Raw genomic sequence first — 16,702 nt, 5'->3', positions numbered from 1 at the left:
CATCAAGGCACGCCAGGGCCTGAGAGGCTGAGGGAAAGGGAGTGGCTCCCAATGCACAAAGCCGAGGCAGGACAGCAATGTCCCATGTCAGGCATCTATCGAGGGACCCAGGGATTCCCAAGTCACCCACAGCTCCAGAAGTTCAAGGGAATGCCCCAAAGGCAGCTCCTTCCACGAGTCATATCCAGCCTCTAATCAACCGCTTTTGGGGGGTTGGCCAATCTTTGGACATGGGTGACCATCTCCCGTGGCAAAGGGTCCCCACTTGGGGAGGGTGGGTTGTTGGTGGGAGGGGAGGGAGTGTGTCACACACATCCCCAAAGGGAAAAAGGAAGGCTGACCAGAATACCCTCTCTCTACTCCTCTAAGGCAAGAGTGAAGGGAGAAAAAAAGAAAATACAAAGAAAATACCTACTTCCGACAGAAAACAAGTCATAAATCAATGAAACCAAATGGGAAATGTCAGACCATACACAACCCATAGCCCTCCATGCAAATGGGAACACAGACAAAGGGAGAAGCACACCATGAGAGACCCAAAGGGCAGGGGACTCATGTCTGTCCTACCCGTACCACCCAGCAGGGACAGAAAACACCCAGATTTCAGCCCAGAACAGCTGTTCCTCGATGCCCTGGGGTGGCAAGCATGGCCCTGCCCCCAGGAGAGGTCTCCCCAGGCCCCGAACCCAGGAGATGTCTCCCCAGGCCCCAAACTCAAGAGAGGTCTCCTCAGGTCCCTGTTCCCAGGAAAGGTCTCCCCAGGAGAGGACTCCCCAGGCCCTGACCCCAGGAGAGGACTCCAGGGTCCACTGCAGCTGGCCAAGGGAGCAACTTAGGACCAGGGTTGTGTGCAAGAAGCAACGGAGTCCAAGTGCTGGAAGCTCCTCCTTTGTGGAGAGGAGGGTGAGAAGTAGCCAAGTGACTCCAGCCTCCTCCCCAGGGGTGCACAGCCCAGCCTATACCCCCAGCACAGCACCAGCTGAGGACACTTGTGTTACCTTAGTTATGTGTTCTTCCTCCAGGTCATCCTCATCCTCATCCACTCTGTGTGTGTGAGAGAGAACAGAAAACAGTCTTCCCTCAGCAAACTCAGCAAAACGCACTGAGCATCTGCTGAGCGCTGGTGCTGAGCCCTGGCCATTCCCAGCAATGGGTTCCACCAAGGTAGCAGGTGCTGCTCGCTCAGAAACTCCCCCAGGCAAATGCCAACCCCAACCTCCCATGGCCGCTCAGGTCTGTGGGTAGGGAAATGTAAAAAGGAGAAAGGGGCTCAGCACCCCCAACCCAAGTCTTGAGTCGGAAGCCTCGGGACTCATGGCAGGCTGCTCTCCTCTCTGCCCTCCCTCCAGCAAGCTGGACCCCTCTGAGGCCCCAGGGCGGATATTTGCTCTTCATCATCTCAGGCCTTCGGATGTTCTGTGCCTGGAATGTTGTCTCCCCTCACCAGCTCCCAGTCAACTCTGAGATAGCAGCAGAAACATCACCTCCTCCAGGAAGCCTTCTTTGACCTTCCCTGGTAGGCCTGGCTGCTCTGACACAGATTCATGGCCCCTGCTCTTCACACCCATCTCATTCAAAATCGCTTCCTCTCGGTCTATCTCCCCAGACTGTCATGTCCACAAGGGAGGACCCAGGTCGGCCTTGTTTCTGCTGAGTCCCCGTGGCCTCACCTAGAGCTTGGTATGCAGCAGGAACCCCATGACCATCTCCTGGATGAAGCTACAACTGACCAATCGAGTGAACAGAGGATGCTGTCACTTATGACCAGCTACAACTCTTCTTGTGTCAGTGCCTCAGTCTGCCCTTCCCAGCAATGCGGGAAGAATCCATCAGCGCCAGGCGTTGGCAGGGAAGCCAGCCCTGCATCCCATGGCCTGAAGCTGAGCTAGCTCTACTAGTCTATGCTCCTCAGAAAACACAAAACCATCTGACAGGCACACGCTACCTATGGCAACATCACATAAAAAGAAAACATTTTTGTTCACCTCGAAATTCCTTTCTAACAAAACAGAATACAATTGTCTTGGGCTATCAGAAGAGTAATTATTACAGGCTTGGCTTCATGGTCACTAAAGAGCAGGCGGCTCTATCTTAAAAGGCTTGGATTCAATCTTATGTCGCATGCTGGACAAAGCCAGCAGGAGCTCACTGAGAGGCTGGGTGTGTGAAGAAATGAAGAGCAAAAATTTTCTATTCAGAACTCAGGTCCTCCGAGGCTCACGTTATCTCCTGAAACGTGAGGGCATGGGAAGCCCCAGAAGCTGACCTACAGGATCCATGGCTCTTGCCCAGACCTGAAGGAGCACTTTGTTCCTTTAATATTCACCACCTCCATCTCCACTCAAGTTCTCTGCCTTGTCCCCACGGGCTCTAAGGGAGAAGAGAGGGAGCAGAAACATGACCTCGGAGGCGGGCAGGAAGGGTTCATGGAGCACAAACTGTTTATGACCCCCTCTCACCAGCGAGGCATAAAGCAACACGGTGGTCTCTGCCCTGGGCAGGGGCAGAAGTCGAAGTTCACATGCGCAGCCTGGAATTACACTACCAGACTGCAACGAGGCAGCATCTGCTCATTCATGTCAACTCGATTTTATTGAGCACACCCCTATGCCAAACACTGGGTCAGCTCTGGGAACATCAAACTATAAAGACGTGGTTCCTGCCCTGAAGCAGCTCGAGCCCAGCCAGGGAGAGGAGGCAACAACAGAAGCACAAGCAGGTGCATGAGCAAAACAGAGCAGCTGACACCCGAAGCCACCAAGACGACACCTGAGCCAGGCCTTAAAGGAGAGGAAGACATCTGCCAAGGGAGGAGGGCAGGGTGTTTGGCCACAGCACGTTGCATGAGCAAATCCTCAGACAGGACAGAGGAAGGCCTGGTGCGCTGGAGGAAGTTCAGGGCAGCGGGGAAGCTGGCGTCTGGTGGATGGCGGCTGGAGGTGGCATCAGAAGGCGCCCTGCAGACAGACTGTGAAGGCCGGGGATGAACCTTCAGGAATATCCATGGAGGGTCTCTGGTCTTGCAGTTACCCTCCGACAGATGTGGTGGCCAGGATGTCACAGGACACACGGGACTCATCATCAGGTGCAGCCCCCCACCCCATCCACATCACCATTTTGTTTTCCTTGTAGGCAAACATGCTGACTTCACATAGGTGCTATTTGTTTTCATGTCTATTAACTGTCCCCTCCATGTCTTCTTCCCTTCTATGTCCACAGCATCTGGACAGTGCCATACTCAGAGCAGACACTCAGGGATGGTGGTGAGGTTCCAGTGTGAATGGGAACAGGGCTGTGACCAGGGATCCTGTGGGCCCGAAATGGCCTGGGTGGCCTGCTCAGGGCTAAGTCACCCAGCAGCTCATGGCTCATCAAGTGGAAACCTTGAGTCTGGACCAACAGAGGCTTTATGGGAGAAGGAAAGCTCAGGCTAAGGACGCCTTGATGGTTGGCACCTCACAGGTTACCCAGTGCAGTCAGCTGCCTCAGAGCCTGAGATCTAGAGCCAGGCCAGCTGAGTTCTAGCCCAGCTCTCCACTGCCGAGGCTTGTGGCCTCAGCCAAGGAGTCTCTCCTTGTGGGGCTGCAGCCTCCTTGTGTATAAGGCGCAGACACAAATGTTCCTGCCCTGCCTGAGCTGCCGTGAGGACAGCTGAGAGGACACAGGCCAGGCCGGTGACTGTCCTCACTGCCACTGGCACTCATGGACCCTAGGAAGGACCCGGCTTAGAGCAGAGGGCAGAGGCCACCATGCCTCTTGCCAGGTGCTTCATGGCATCTGTGGCATGAGGGAAAGAGCTGTCTTCAAGGGTGTCCCCTGGCCTGGGGCAGGGTAGTGCTACCGCCTCTGTCTCACCTGCTCGCCACCTTTTTCTCCTCATCACTCTCGTATTCGGCGAGGACCAGCTCCTCCTCCCCAGACTCCAGCTGCTCCAGCCGCTCAGCCTCCGGGCCTGTCTCTAGCATCTCCCTGCTGAGGCGGAGGAGATTCTCTCTTTCTTCTTCTTCCTGCCTCTGGACAGGGGTAGTGGAGGTGGTGAGGGAGGAAGAAGTCTCAGCACCAGTACCCACCTCCCCACATGCCAGAGACAAAGCACACCACGCCCCATTCACATAGGCCTGGCTGCCTGGCTGGAGAGAGGTCGACTCCTAGGATCCACGCCTCAACCACTCACAGCCCAGCTTCTGTACGGGAGCACATAGCCAGTGAGGGTCACGGAGGGGAGACCAAGGCCCTGACCACGCACCCATGAGCCTCCAAGCAGAGCAACCCTGCCTGGACATAATCCTGCCCCCCAAGAAATGAGGCTCACCAGGCGCTTGGCTGCATACTTGAGCTGCACCCTGTGCTGCAGCTGCTGCAGGCGTTCTTCTCGCTGCTTCCTCCTGGCCTGCTCCGCCTACAGGAGGCAGACATGAAGGAAAATCACCAAGGAAGCCCAAAACCAGGCCTCTCCTAAGGAGTCTGGGCCACTCAGCCCGGCGCCTCCTCACTGGGGGCATCTCTCCTTCCCCGGCCAGCACTCAAGGGCTGCCGCATCCCCTCCCGGGACCTCATCCCTGCCGGTCCCAGCCTCGCTGCTCACTGCGGAAGGCGGCACACTCCTCCCAAAGCCACACGCTCTCCATCAGATCCATTTGCAGCCATTGAACCATGCTGCCAATGGCAATGATCAGGTCCTTTCCCAGGTGAGTAATAAATGGGCACCAACAGTTCCTTATGTGGAGAAGGCCTGCTGACCTCCAGCTCAAAAAAGACAGCACAGCGGCAGCACCATAGACCCAAGGAGCTGAGGGAAGAGCTGAGAGGCACGGCAACGGCAGGGGAGCATGCACTGCCTGAGTCTCGGAATCGCCCCAGAACAATCGCTGAAGCCCTGTTTCCTCCAGTACTCCCACTTCCGGATACCCCAGGTCTCACCTTTAGTCGGTCCACCAGGTCCCTCTCTTCTTTCTTCTGCACAAACTGAGTAACCCAGGCCGGTTCTCCAGCAGGCCTCGGGGTGCCTGCAGCCCCTTCGCAGGAAGAAGACAGACACAGGGATTCATCTTTCTCATCATGTAAGGGGCCAGTTCCAGTTTCAAGGAGTCGTGCCTCTTCTTCACGCTTCTTCTGTTCAAAGTCACGGAGCCAAGAGAGGGCCCCACAAATAAGACTTAAGGACTTCCCCTGCAGGAAGAAAAATGATCTTTAGAAACAGGAAAACAACAAAGCCTCCCAAATGACCTTTCCCCATTTTAATAAAAGCTTGAAAGAAGGTCTGGCTGTACATAGGAGAGGATGCTCTAAGACCAGCCTAGGAAAGGAAAGGAAGGAAATTAGCACTAGAATAGCCAGGAAAAACAGAAAAAAGAAAGAAATGGAAACTGGGCCCAAGAAGCAGGAAAAAGCTTCTTTAATTATCCAGCTCACTGTTCTGAAAACAAATTTGAAGCAGTTTATCAGATTCTATGTAAATATCGCACATAATTAGAAGAAGGGGAGACATTAGACAAAAAGTCCCCTAAAAGAATTAAGGCCCCAAAATGCTGAGCAAGAAATCCCAGGTACTCGCCAACAGGGAGCCAGAGTGACCGCGCGGCCTTCGTGCAGCTCGTGCGTGGATACAGGATGATCAGTCATGAGCGCCAGTGCTTACGGTTTGTGTTTTGTTTTGTTTTTTTTTTTTTAAGCAAACTAATCACTCTGGAAGACACCACTCTGTCTGTTTTTGAGAGGAGGTCTTGCTATGTTGCCCAGGCTGGTATGGAACTCCTGGGCTCACACAGTTCTCTGGCCTCAGCCTCCCAAGTGGCTGGGACCATAGGTGTGCGCCTCCATATACAGACTGGAGAACACTACCCTTGACTTAAGACCAGAATTTTCCATAAGCCTGATTGAGTTGTATTCCTCCAAATTCCTGTGTTGAAATCCTAACCCCCAGCATCTCAGAATGTGGCCTGATCTGGAAATAGGACTGTCGCAAATGTAATTAGTTAAGATGAGACTACTAGGACGGGACCCAGCCTAAAGGGCTAATATCCTTATTGGAAAGGGGACACGTGGATGCAGACATGCACAGAAGGCAGGCGATGTGATGATACCCAAGGAGAACACGCCACCTATAAGCCAAGGAAAGGGGCCTGAAGAGATCTTTCCCTCACGACCCTCAGAAGGGACCAAGCATGCTGACACCTTGATCTCGGACTCCAGCCTCCAGCGCTGTGGGATGTCAGTTTCTGTTGTTTAAGCCCCAGTTTGTGAAGCTTTCCTCTAGCAGCCCCAGGGAACCAATACAGTTCTTCCAGAGAGGACCCTTCAGGGAGCGCCACAAGGAGGCGGCCCTGGTGTCCACAGGGGAACTCAGCTCAGGGGAGTCTCTGGAGGACCCCATGCCTTCTGCTCCAGGCAGTCAGCTCTCTGAGCCTGCTGAACCCAGAGGGGATCTCAGAGTATCCAGGGCGGGGTGAAACACCTCGTATGACTACGGTTGGGGCAGCAGCGCGGCGCAGGAGTCAGAGTCTCAAACTCCACAGCCAGGTGCCAGGGTTCCAGCTGTCTCCCCCACCTGCAGCTCTGTGGCTCAGGCTGGCCTCACTACGCTTGTTTCCACGAGTGCAGAAATGGAAATGACAACAGCGGCACCTTCCTCATAGAGCTGGTGCAAGCAGGACATTAACACACACAAAAGGCCAAATCCTCTGGATTAGAGGATTACCTGGCAAATAACAAGTGAGCGGTTGGAGTTAGCTAACTTTTTGCTATCATTAAGTAATAATAATAAAATTATTAATAGCATTATTCTGGAATATGGGATCTATTAGTTTTCATCAAAATCTTGAAAGGCCCTGGGATAGGATAGAATGACATTGTTGACAAATGGATGGATCCCATATTTTTAGGAAAGCCCCATATGTACCATTTCCCTCAGCTTTTGATAGAAAGTAAATGGCAAAGAGTTCCAGGCAGCATTTCCCAGCAGCACCTGGAGGGCGGCTCTTCTGTGCTGTCTGTGATATCGGAAGCAGTCAGCTTCAGCTGTCACTGGGCTGGGAGACACAATGGTTAGAAAGCCAGTGCCCTCCATTTGAAAGTGAGCTGAGGAAGTTCCTAAGGGTATGGTCAAAGTTATCTTTCAAAAACAACCGTGGTATACTCCGGCACAACAGCAAAAGAATAACTGAGGCCCACTGTTTTCTACATCGTGTAATAAGACCACAAAACTTTTAGACTGGAAAATGTTAAAAGGATTTATAACCAAAGGCTCACCTTCCTGGGGTATCATCAACAGTTACATGATTTATGCCAAGATAAGCAAATTCATTCACTCTGAACACCTGCTGGTTGCAGCAAGCATGGGGCTCAGAGCTGAGGACACAAAGGTGCAGAGCCCCTAGAAAATGCTCACAGGTTCACATGTAACATACAATTCGAGGGCATCATAGATCCCCGCAAAGCATGCATTCCAGGTTGGATGACTCCCGGAACTGCAGTATTACACAAGGCACAGCACACACCAAGTGGTAATGGTGACTCAACTTGATAGACCTGTATAAGGCTTAAAAGGTGACTATCAAGGATAAACAGCATCTGGGGCAGCTAAGGTGGGGCACCTGTGCATCCACGGCGGGGAAGGGCATGGTAGGCACAACAGGTAACACAAACCCCACTCAGGGTGTCCCACAGCATGGCTGCTTCTATGGGCTGCGGGACACCCAGGACAGGAGAAAACACTCTATTCAGGAGATGATTTAGAAGACAGAAGAATGTCAAAGGTAATAAAGCCACAGGGTACATTCACAGAGACTGCACACAAGAAGATGAAGCTATAGAACCAGAAACATCGACAATTAAAGGCTGAGCAGAGGAAGAAGACGCAGAAGCCTGGAGTGCAGAAGACTGAGATGGAAAGACCTGAGAGGGAGAAGATGGGTTGTCAGGCTAAACAAGGTGAAAGGGGTCAGGTACAGTGGCTCATGCCTGTAATCTCAGCACTATGGGAGGCCAAGGAGGGAGGATTGCTTGAGCCTAGGGGTTTAAGACCACCGGCCTGAGCAGCATAGTGAGATCTCATTTCTACAAATTAAAAAATTAGCTAGGTGTGATGGTGCACACCTGTAGTCCCAGCTGCTCAGGAGGCTGACGTGGGAAGATCACTTGTTGCCAGAAGGTTGAGGCTGCAGTAAACCATGATCTTAACACTGCACTCGGCCCTGGGCAACAGAGCAACACCCTGTCTCTAAAATTAAACAAGGCAGAATGAACATGCACTCATCTGTGTTCCAAAGCACACTAAAATTAACCAAAGTAATATGGAGGCTTACACCCACAAAAAGAAAGTGGAAGGAGTAATATGTTTTAGGAGAGAGGGAAAGAAGGCAGAGACATGGAAGTGATTTCGGCAGAGACACTCAAGCCCAAGTGTCCCCAGAGATCTCCCCCACTCATTCTCAGAAAGACTCAGGAAGTGGTAGGAACACAGCAGGCCACTGAAAACAAAGGGACGGGTTGAAATTCTTTTTAAGAACAATTAGATTCTCAGGTTGCAATCCCTGCTCCTGCTCCTTGCAGAAGACAGGAAGTGGGCTCTAAGTGGAAGCTGAGCTAGGAGAGCCCTGGAGGCAACCGGCAGATTGAGGAGGCAAGAGGGAGGGGGAGGAGGGCCAGGCTGAAAGCAGGCACTGAGGGGGACTCTCCACCTGGATCCCCTTCCCCAGACCACCTCCCGGAAGACCGGCTATTGGGCTTCAGCGTCTGTACCTGCTGGGCCAGGGCTCAGAGGCACCTGCTCTGGAGAGACTGAAGACTCTAGGGAAAATCCCACAGATGTGCTGGCAACTGGAGGCCCCCAACAAAGGAGCCCAGCCTGGCAGCCACAGCCAGTGCCCTGCAGACTCAGCCTTTCTGTGCCCTGTTCTTCAGCATACACAGGCAGTCCAGGGCTGCCAGACGTTTGAGGAAAGCCTCCAAACGGACGTATACCCTGATGTGGTGTGGGTGCGGCCGTCTGTCCCCATTAACACTCATGCTGAAATCTGTCAAGTCAGTCTGAGGAGCAACTAATTCAAATGACAGGGAAAGGATGGAGGATTCCAGGAGGGCTCCAAGGTAAAAATGGAATTGGTCACTGCTGTGGACTGAATTGTATCCCCACCAAAATGCATGTTAAAAAAATGTTTTTAAAGAACAAAAACAAAACAAAAGAAGCTGTGTATGGTGGTGTGCACCAGTAATCTTGGATCTTGCCAGCCACCAGGTACTTGGGAGGCTGAGAGGGGAGGATCGCTTGAGTTCGAGACCAGCCTGGGCCACATAGTGAGACTGCCCATCTTAACAAACAAACATATGTTGAAATCCTAACCCCGCCATGTGACTCTACTACAGATCTGGCCTTCAAGGGTAAAGGAGGTCATAACGGAGCAGCCATAAGGGAGCAGCCCTTGTCCTCATAAAAGAGAAAGAGACACCAAAGATTTGTTTTTCTCCTCCTCGTCTTTTCTTGCTCCACAGTAAGAACGCAGCCATCTGCAAGCCAGGAAGAGACCCCCTCCCCAGAACCAGAACCCTGCCAGAATCTGGATCTTCAACTTTCCAGCCTCCAGAATGGTGAGAAAATAAATTCCTGTTAAGTCACCCAGTCTATGGTATTTTACTATGGCAGTCCTGGCCGACTAAGACAGGAGTTATCTGTATGGAAAATCATATTGAGAGGCCACTGGATGATGTGGGAGGAACTGGCATAGGTATATTAAAAACTAAACTAACTTTAAAAGGGCAATTATTAACTAGAAAAAACAGAATATTAAGACATATTGTTCAAGACAAAATTATGTTCAAAACATAATCATAACACACTGGTTCACTCAGCAGAGACTAAAACTTAGAATTATATTTGAAGGATGGGGAACGGGAGGGAAAAGAGTTGGTAAGAAAGCCGTCTCATCTACCGTAATAGGTAGGCACCAATGACTTCAGCCTAATTTTTCTCAGACCACAGAGCTATGTTTAAGACTTTAGGCCGGGCACGGTGACTCATGCCTGTAATCCTAGCACTTTGGGAGGCCGAAGCGGGCGGATCACGAGGTCAGAAGACTGAGATCATCCTGGCTAACACGGTGAAACCCTGTCTCTATTAAAACTACAAAAAATTAGCCGGGCGTGGCGGCGGGCACCTGTAGTCCCAGCAACTCAAGAGGCTGAGGCAGGAGAATGGCGTGAACCCGGGAGGCGGAGCTTGCAGTGAGCCGAGATCGTCCCACTGCACTCTGGCCTGGGCGACACAGCGAGACTCCGTCTCAAAAAAAAAAAAAAAAGACTTTAATAGAGGAAGTGACTATTACTCAGATAAACAGAGACTACTCTGCCCAACTTCAAACTATGAAAATCTCTGGATAGGCAAACAGGAAAAGCTAGTACGGCTGCTGTTAAGTTGTCCTTTTCAGTATCTCTCACTGTTCATACTCACAGTGCCAGTTGGACTCTCAAATATCCCAATCTTGCCAGCCTCCAAAACCCGGTACAGCTCTGCCATGAAGTCTTCCTGGATGGAATAGGGTGTGAAGGGAAAAGGAAAATGGATGGCACCAACCTTCTGTGTTTCATTAGCCATGGACCTAGGAAAAATAAATACAACATTAGGGAGCTCTCTCATGGTCCAGGAAGAAGTGGCTTGAAATCTGGAGCATTATTTAAGAGCAGTCTCCACACTTATTACCAAATTTCTCCTTTTTTCTGGGAAGCAGAGACCATGTTCTCTCCATCCTTCGCAGCAGGTCCACGTGAGGCCATACCAGAATCACGCACTCCATCTAGCGGCATTTAACGGCTGTAGCAGAATGCAGACCAGGAAAGCCCCTAAACCCAATCTCCCCTGCATTTCACCGTGGCTCCGATACCTTTCTAATGCCTCTACAAAAGGCTTAGAGCTCTCTTCTCACAGACCAGCACCCCTAAGATCAAGGGTGTTGCTTATAATGACTTTTGCAGCTTTCTTCTCCCACGTCTCTGCAATGCACATTCACAAGCCGAAGCTACTTCACTTTATCCCGTTGTGAAGTCCTGGAAAATCATGACGCACAGGCAGAGGACCATAAGCACAGCTTGTTGTTTGGATAGCGCAAGTTAACATACACGTCCCTATCTTTTTTTTTTTTTTTTTCGAGACAGAGTCTCACTCTGTCGCCCAGGCTGGAGTGCAGTGGCGCAATCTCGGCTCACTGCACGCTCCGCCTCCCGGGTTCACACCATTCTCCTGCCTCAGCCTCCCGAGTAGCTGGGACTACAGGTGCCCGCCACCACGCCCAGCTAATTTTTTTTTTTGGTAGAGACGGGGTTTCACCGTGTTAGCCAGGATGGTCTCGATCTCCTGACCTCGTGATCCGCCCGCCTTGGCCTCCCGAAGTGCTGGGATTACAGGCGTGAGCCACCGCACCCGGCCTACACGTCCTTATCTTACAAGTATCTTTAGTTTGCTTCTTAGTTCATCCTGGCCTCCATTTCCAGCACCGAACAGAGCCACCACCTACTAACTTTTCTGGCCTCTAGACCTATGAGCTTTCTGTTTGGTTCCAGACAGGAGAGCTCTCTTCACAGCCACGGGGCTCTGGCTGGAACAGCTTCCCAGTACTGAGACCAGGCATTTCTCTTTCCTTGCTAGGCTAAGGTCTAAGAAAAACTCTGCTCCACGTTGACGTCATCTTTTTTTTTCTCCTCTCCTGAACCTAATTATCTCTGAGACAGTGATTCAAGGAAGAAAGGAGAAGTAAACGCTATCTGGAGGCCTGACTCTTCCATCCTGGTTCCCACACCTCTCTCTTTGGAACTCACTTCTCCAAGCTCTTTGCCAGGTCTGTCTCTTCTAAGCACAAATGTTAGTAAGTCCCAAACCCATTTTACTAATATTAGTAGATCGAGAGCCCATCTTTATAACTTTGGCCTCAATAAGACTAGTGATAGTGTCACTCTATTTACGAGGGGAAAGGTAGTTGCCACGATGCTCTTCGGTTTAGGGGCAATTAAAATGACTACAGATTGGTGGCAGTTTATGGATTTGCACAAGAAGAGAGAACTCACAGAACTAGCATTATTTTACCCTCTGTCTTCACAGAGGTATATTTGGCTGTTTTGTTAGACATTCTGGGGACAAGAAAAAATGAAAAAAGAAAAACATGACTACAGAGGTAGAGGAATTATTACAAGAAGGGTAATCAAAAAACATGATTTACAATTCAATCCTGAGAGAGGGGTATGTACTGAAAAAGCTTTAACACATGAAGGAAAGGGGAAGAAAGGTACCTAACAAATTTTTGAGTACCTCCTATGTGTTAAACACTCTACAGTGGTCTTTTGCTTTTATTATCTCATTTAATCTGTACAACACTATAAGGATACAGCTACTGGATACTGATGCTTACAGAAATTAAATAATTGCTCAAAGTCACAGCTAAAAAGTGGAAAACCAGGGATTCGAATCCAGGTCCAAATGACTCTGCTTTAGTGAAGCTCATCCGGTTGCAAGAGATATCCAGCATAAGTGAAGGGAGGTTCACTGAAGGGAGGTTCACAAACTGAGAGTAAGAATTGAAACTATCTGGGAAAGCCAAAAACAGAGGCAGACTACAAGCTGCAAGGCAGCTCGGACTTCAAGACAGCTCCAGGAACGTCACCAGCAAACACACACCCACGGGGTTCACTCTCCTGCTCAGCCAGGTGCCGGATACAGCCACAATCTCACTCCCTCAGCGCACTCGGTTTCTGCTTATCCCAAACTTTCGCTTACACGTGGCCTCATCAGCCCCTGGACCTTTCAGCTTCAGCTCCCACTGCCAAGTAAAAAGTCTTCATGTCTCCTCGTTCTGAATCCCAAGACAAAAAGCTGACCAGCAGCTCCTCTCAAGACAGAGCACTGGTCAGCCTGAGACTGGTCAGGCTCCCAGCCTCATCTACTCAGCTCGGGCCTTGCACTTGCTGCTCCCCTTGGCCTGGAGAAGGAGTCCTCCTCAATATCCAGGCTTTGGCTCACCTCCTCAGAGAAGCCTCTCCGGCTGTCTGGCCGCTGGACAGTGGTCAAACACCACCCCCACTCCTCACCCCCTAGCTTGCTCTAAGTCACTTTTAAAAAATCACATTACTCTGTATTTAATTTATTCATAGCTCTTAGCACCATCTGAACCTATTTATTCTTCCTCACTGGAATATACGTTCCATAAATAGAGGAACCTTGTCTGTCTTGCTCTTCTCTGGCTCCAGGACTCAGAACTAGGTGCTTCGACACCTCATAGGCATTCAACAAAAATCTGATGAACGAATGAGTAGCCAGCCAGACATCGGGGCTGTAAGTGAAGGTTTCTCTTCCGAGGCTGGGTAACGGAGGTCCCATGACTTGAATACCTATTAGTTAAATGGCCAGTTCTTTAATGGTTTCAAACCGTTTTCAGATAACCCCACAAAAACCCTGTGTGGTATTTTTATAAGCTCTATTTTATAGAGAAAGAAACTGAGACTCAGTAAACTTATATGACTTGCCCAAGGTCACTCAGCAAGTGCTTGAACTCAGGATTTGAACCACATCTGCCAGACCCCCAAGCCACCTGAAACTTTCTATCTCCTCACTTTTCCTCCCACCAGGATAAGTGGGATAAAAAAGACAGACTTGGTTACCAAACTCTAGAATGACAACACTAAACAATACAGAAGAAACGTAAGTATTATTTCACTTCCCCATCAGTGGTAATTATGGATCTCATTATTCCAGAAGCAGCACAGGCTAAATCATAGAGGTTTAGATAAATCTGAGTATAACGGATTCACTAAGCCCTATTAAAAACATTTGCAGTGACTTGTTCAGCCCTCTTCAGGTTGGCTGTGTGGAGGACAACCATCACCTCCCAGTGCCAAGGCACACACCAGGACAGCAAAGCTCACGCTCATAAAACGAGGTTAGAGTTGTGAAAGCACTTCAGGAACATATTAGTTCTTAACGTGTTCATTTTCTTCAGTCCCCAATTATCACTCATTACTGAGTACAGACTATTGTTGTGGGCTCAGTTGTGTCCTCCCCACATTGATCTTGGACATCCCAAGCCTCTGGGACTGTGAGAAAACACATTTCTGTGTCTAAGCCACCCAGTTTATGGTATTTTGTCATGGCAGCCGGGGCTGACCAAGACAACTATGTGGCAGGTACTATCTACCGTATGGCCCTAAAATGTTTTAACTTCACACACCTGGAAAGCACCACAGCCCCAAGAAAAAAGCTTTTCCGCACTGCTGTTAAGCCAGGGCCACACACTGCAGTACTGCGGTGCTCCACCAGCTGGAGGATGGCCTGGCCCATAATACCCGCATTCCCACCTTGCTCTGGCCCTGTGTCCCCTCCAACGTGCATCCTGAGCTCGCACCCTGTGTGGAACCCAAACAGCTGCTTATCAGCATTTAAGTCCATTTTTATGACACTTCCGTCAACAATCTGGTCAAGTGCACTCATTCCTGGCCTCCGTACTGTACCCTGCTCCGCCTCGATTCCCGCCCTGGGGGAAGCTAGACTCATGCAGCTAACTTTATCGGCTCTGGGCTCTGATTGCCAAGTTTAGGATCCCAGCTGTATCCTTGCTAAAGTTAGCATCGCTGGGGCTCAGTTTCCGTAAGAGACAGGTGGGTTACAAGCGCTCACTCACTGTTGCAGTGTCTTATCTACGTAAGATAATCCATGAAAAGCTCAACACAGCTGGGCCAAATCTAAGACCCAGACACGCGGCTGCTGTTAATGCCCACTTCTGCGCACCGCCCAGTTCCACCGCAGGCACAACCTTCCTAGGCCTACCCGTCCCCACACAGGGGTTCCCGCTTGTCAATCACGCTGGCCCGGCCCTCCACTTCCGGAATGTTTTCCCGCTCCGGACGGGCCACCCACCTTTGCAAATAGGGGTCCGGCGCCGGAACAGACGCCCAGTTTGCGATTTCACCAGTCTGCCCTTCCTCGTCCCGCTGCTCCTCGTCCTAAGGAGCTCTGCTGCCACACAGCACTGCGCTCACCTTCTTCGCCGGCAGAATTGCTACGCTGAAAGCCAGGCCCCGGGAATCAGGGCAAACGCCACTGAGTTAGAAACTGGCGGGTCCCCTCAGTGAAAGGCAGCCGGAACAACCCCCGCCGCTGCGCATGCGCACTCCGGGACGCGCGCGAACACGCAGCAGCGAGAATCTACAGGGGCGTGGTTTGCGCACGCGGGAACTGGGATCTCAACCCCAGGGCTAGGTGCCTCCTCCCGCTGCTTTCCGCCAGCTGCGGGGTGTGAGATTAATCCCCGCCGATTAGCGCCAGGTGTACTAAGCGCTGGATGGTTCCCTGACCAGATGAAACATCAGCCGATGTTCTAATGCCGGTCCCCTGGGCGCTGTCCCCGAGAGGGAAAACCTGTTTTCTGACCCCGGCTCTAGTCGGCCTCTGGAGGTCTGCAGCTGGGTTATTTTACCTTTGAAACGGACGACACCTGCCCCGTGCACCCCAGCGGCTCCTCCACACGGAGAGATGGTGTCAGTCAAAGGCCGTCTAGATGACGAGTTTATGAAATTGTTCCTGGCCCGTGCCGGGCACGACCTTGCAGAGAGCCCAGAAGATGAAACCCCAGCCCTGCCAGGAGCTCACCTGCTAATTAGGAGGACAACGAATCACCTCACCTCCCTAGACTTTGCTTCTCCTTTATTCAGTGAGGGATTGGACTAGCTGGTCCTTGAGGACTTTTCAGAAAGTCTGGTTCTGGGAGATGACCAATGGGATCATCTTATGCTATGAGCTTTCCTGGAATGACAGGTAATTGGTGCGCCTTCCCAGCAGGGTCAGGGAGAGTTGCTGGGACTTGAAGGAAAGGCTTTTGGGGAGAGGAGCCAGTGTTACAAACTATCGAAAAGCTTGGAGGTGGGAAATTTACAAAAGGTGATTCCAGGGTCAGCTTTTTTGTCACCTGCTTCCGACTTCGGCAGTTTGGAGAGGGCGAGTAAGTAATACCCTTCAGGGTCTTGGGATGTGGCCCAGCAAAATCCTTAGAGGGACTTTGAAGTCTTAGTTTTAAGTTTAGAATTAATGGGCAGAGTACTTAAATAGCCATTTCTCCAAAGATGTATACAAATGGCCCACAGGCCCATAAAAATGTTGCATTCCACCCTATAACATGTTTTTGCATAAAAAAGTTTTAAAATAACTGTTGTCTGGTAAATTGACACCTCTGGAATAGAATGTATGCTAGGTTTTTTACCCTACTGCTTCAAACCCCATCCTACACACACACTCCTAGGGTGTGCATCATCCAGTTTAAGAAGCACCCTTGGAGAAACAAAGTTGATAGTGTGTCCAGAATTGATGGGTTCTTGGTCTCACTAACGCAAGACTGAAGCTGCAGACCCTCGCGGTGTTAGTTTTTAAAGGCGGTGTGTCTGGAGTTTGTTCCCTCAGATGTTCCGATGGGTTTGGAGTTTTTTCCTTCTGGTGGGTTTGTGGTCTTGCTGGCTCAGGAGTGAAGCTGCAGACCTTCGCCTGAGTGTTACAGCTTTTAAGACGGCATGTACTGGAGTTGCTAGTTCACCCCGGTGGGTTCGTGTATCTCACTAGCTTCAGGAGTGAAGCTGCAGACATTTGCAGTGAGTGTTACAGCTCATAAAGGCAGTGCAGACCTAAAAAACAAAAAGAACAAAGCTTCCATACTGTGGTAAGAAAATCCTAGTGAGTTAC

General features: G+C 50.7%; 1 protein-coding gene and 1 long non-coding RNA gene across 67 annotated transcripts in view, besides 6 other annotated features; one reads left to right on the top strand and one right to left on the bottom strand.

The window, feature by feature from the left end:
* DDX11 (DEAD/H-box helicase 11) overlaps nt 1–15,122 on the bottom strand; it is a 30,940-nt gene extending 15,818 nt beyond the window's left edge. For 21 of the 66 annotated variants that reach the window (XR_001748610.3, XR_007063056.1, XR_007063057.1 and 18 more), the window contains exons 1-6: nt 10,694–10,762; nt 10,445–10,592; nt 4,921–5,169; nt 4,313–4,399; nt 3,856–4,013; nt 999–1,044 (exon numbers count right to left, since the gene is read on the bottom strand). Coding sequence is in view for 51 of the 66 variants with exons in the window: in XM_017018928.3 (XP_016874417.2) it covers nt 999–1,044; nt 3,856–4,013; nt 4,313–4,399; nt 4,921–5,169; nt 10,445–10,592; nt 10,694–10,728 (723 nt within the window). In the remaining 15 variants the exon portion in view is untranslated. The other 45 variants (NR_182203.1, NR_182202.1, NR_182200.1 and 42 more) reach the window with 19 other exon arrangements.
* Nucleotides 8,376–8,932: an enhancer, noted in NCBI's record as "OCT4-NANOG-H3K27ac-H3K4me1 hESC enhancer chr12:31232984-31233540 (GRCh37/hg19 assembly coordinates)". NCBI's record gives its function as "activates a minimal SCP1, AML or CMV promoter by ChIP-STARR-seq in naive H9 embryonic stem cells {active_cell/tissue: H9 hESC(naive)}" and the evidence as "EXISTENCE:reporter gene assay evidence [ECO:0000049][PMID:30033119]".
* Nucleotides 13,878–14,407: an enhancer, noted in NCBI's record as "H3K27ac hESC enhancer chr12:31227509-31228038 (GRCh37/hg19 assembly coordinates)". NCBI's record gives its function as "activates a minimal SCP1, AML or CMV promoter by ChIP-STARR-seq in naive H9 embryonic stem cells {active_cell/tissue: H9 hESC(naive)}" and the evidence as "EXISTENCE:reporter gene assay evidence [ECO:0000049][PMID:30033119]".
* Nucleotides 13,878–14,427: a biological region, named in NCBI's record as "H3K27ac hESC enhancer GRCh37_chr12:31227509-31228038".
* Nucleotides 14,268–14,427: an enhancer, noted in NCBI's record as "active region_6163". NCBI's record gives its function as "activates an Ori minimal core promoter by ATAC-STARR-seq in GM12878 lymphoblastoid cells {active_cell/tissue: GM12878}" and the evidence as "EXISTENCE:reporter gene assay evidence [ECO:0000049][PMID:35858748]".
* Nucleotides 14,940–15,471: an enhancer, noted in NCBI's record as "H3K27ac hESC enhancer chr12:31226445-31226976 (GRCh37/hg19 assembly coordinates)". NCBI's record gives its function as "activates a minimal SCP1, AML or CMV promoter by ChIP-STARR-seq in naive and primed H9 embryonic stem cells {active_cell/tissue: H9 hESC(naive and primed)}" and the evidence as "EXISTENCE:reporter gene assay evidence [ECO:0000049][PMID:30033119]".
* Nucleotides 14,958–15,067: an enhancer, noted in NCBI's record as "active region_6162". NCBI's record gives its function as "activates an Ori minimal core promoter by ATAC-STARR-seq in GM12878 lymphoblastoid cells {active_cell/tissue: GM12878}" and the evidence as "EXISTENCE:reporter gene assay evidence [ECO:0000049][PMID:35858748]".
* Nucleotides 15,135–16,702, top strand: part of DDX11-AS1 (DDX11 antisense RNA 1) — a 53,085-nt gene continuing 51,517 nt past the window's right edge. The window contains exon 1 of the long non-coding RNA NR_038927.2: nt 15,135–15,787. This is a non-coding gene — a long non-coding RNA (DDX11 antisense RNA 1). The remainder of the gene's footprint in view (nt 15,788–16,702) is intronic.

This window comes from Homo sapiens, chromosome 12 (assembly GCF_000001405.40).
Source record: "Homo sapiens chromosome 12, GRCh38.p14 Primary Assembly".
Classification (NCBI taxonomy): domain Eukaryota; kingdom Metazoa; phylum Chordata; class Mammalia; order Primates; family Hominidae; genus Homo; species Homo sapiens.
This window is presented reverse-complemented; position numbering and strand designations above follow the sequence as displayed.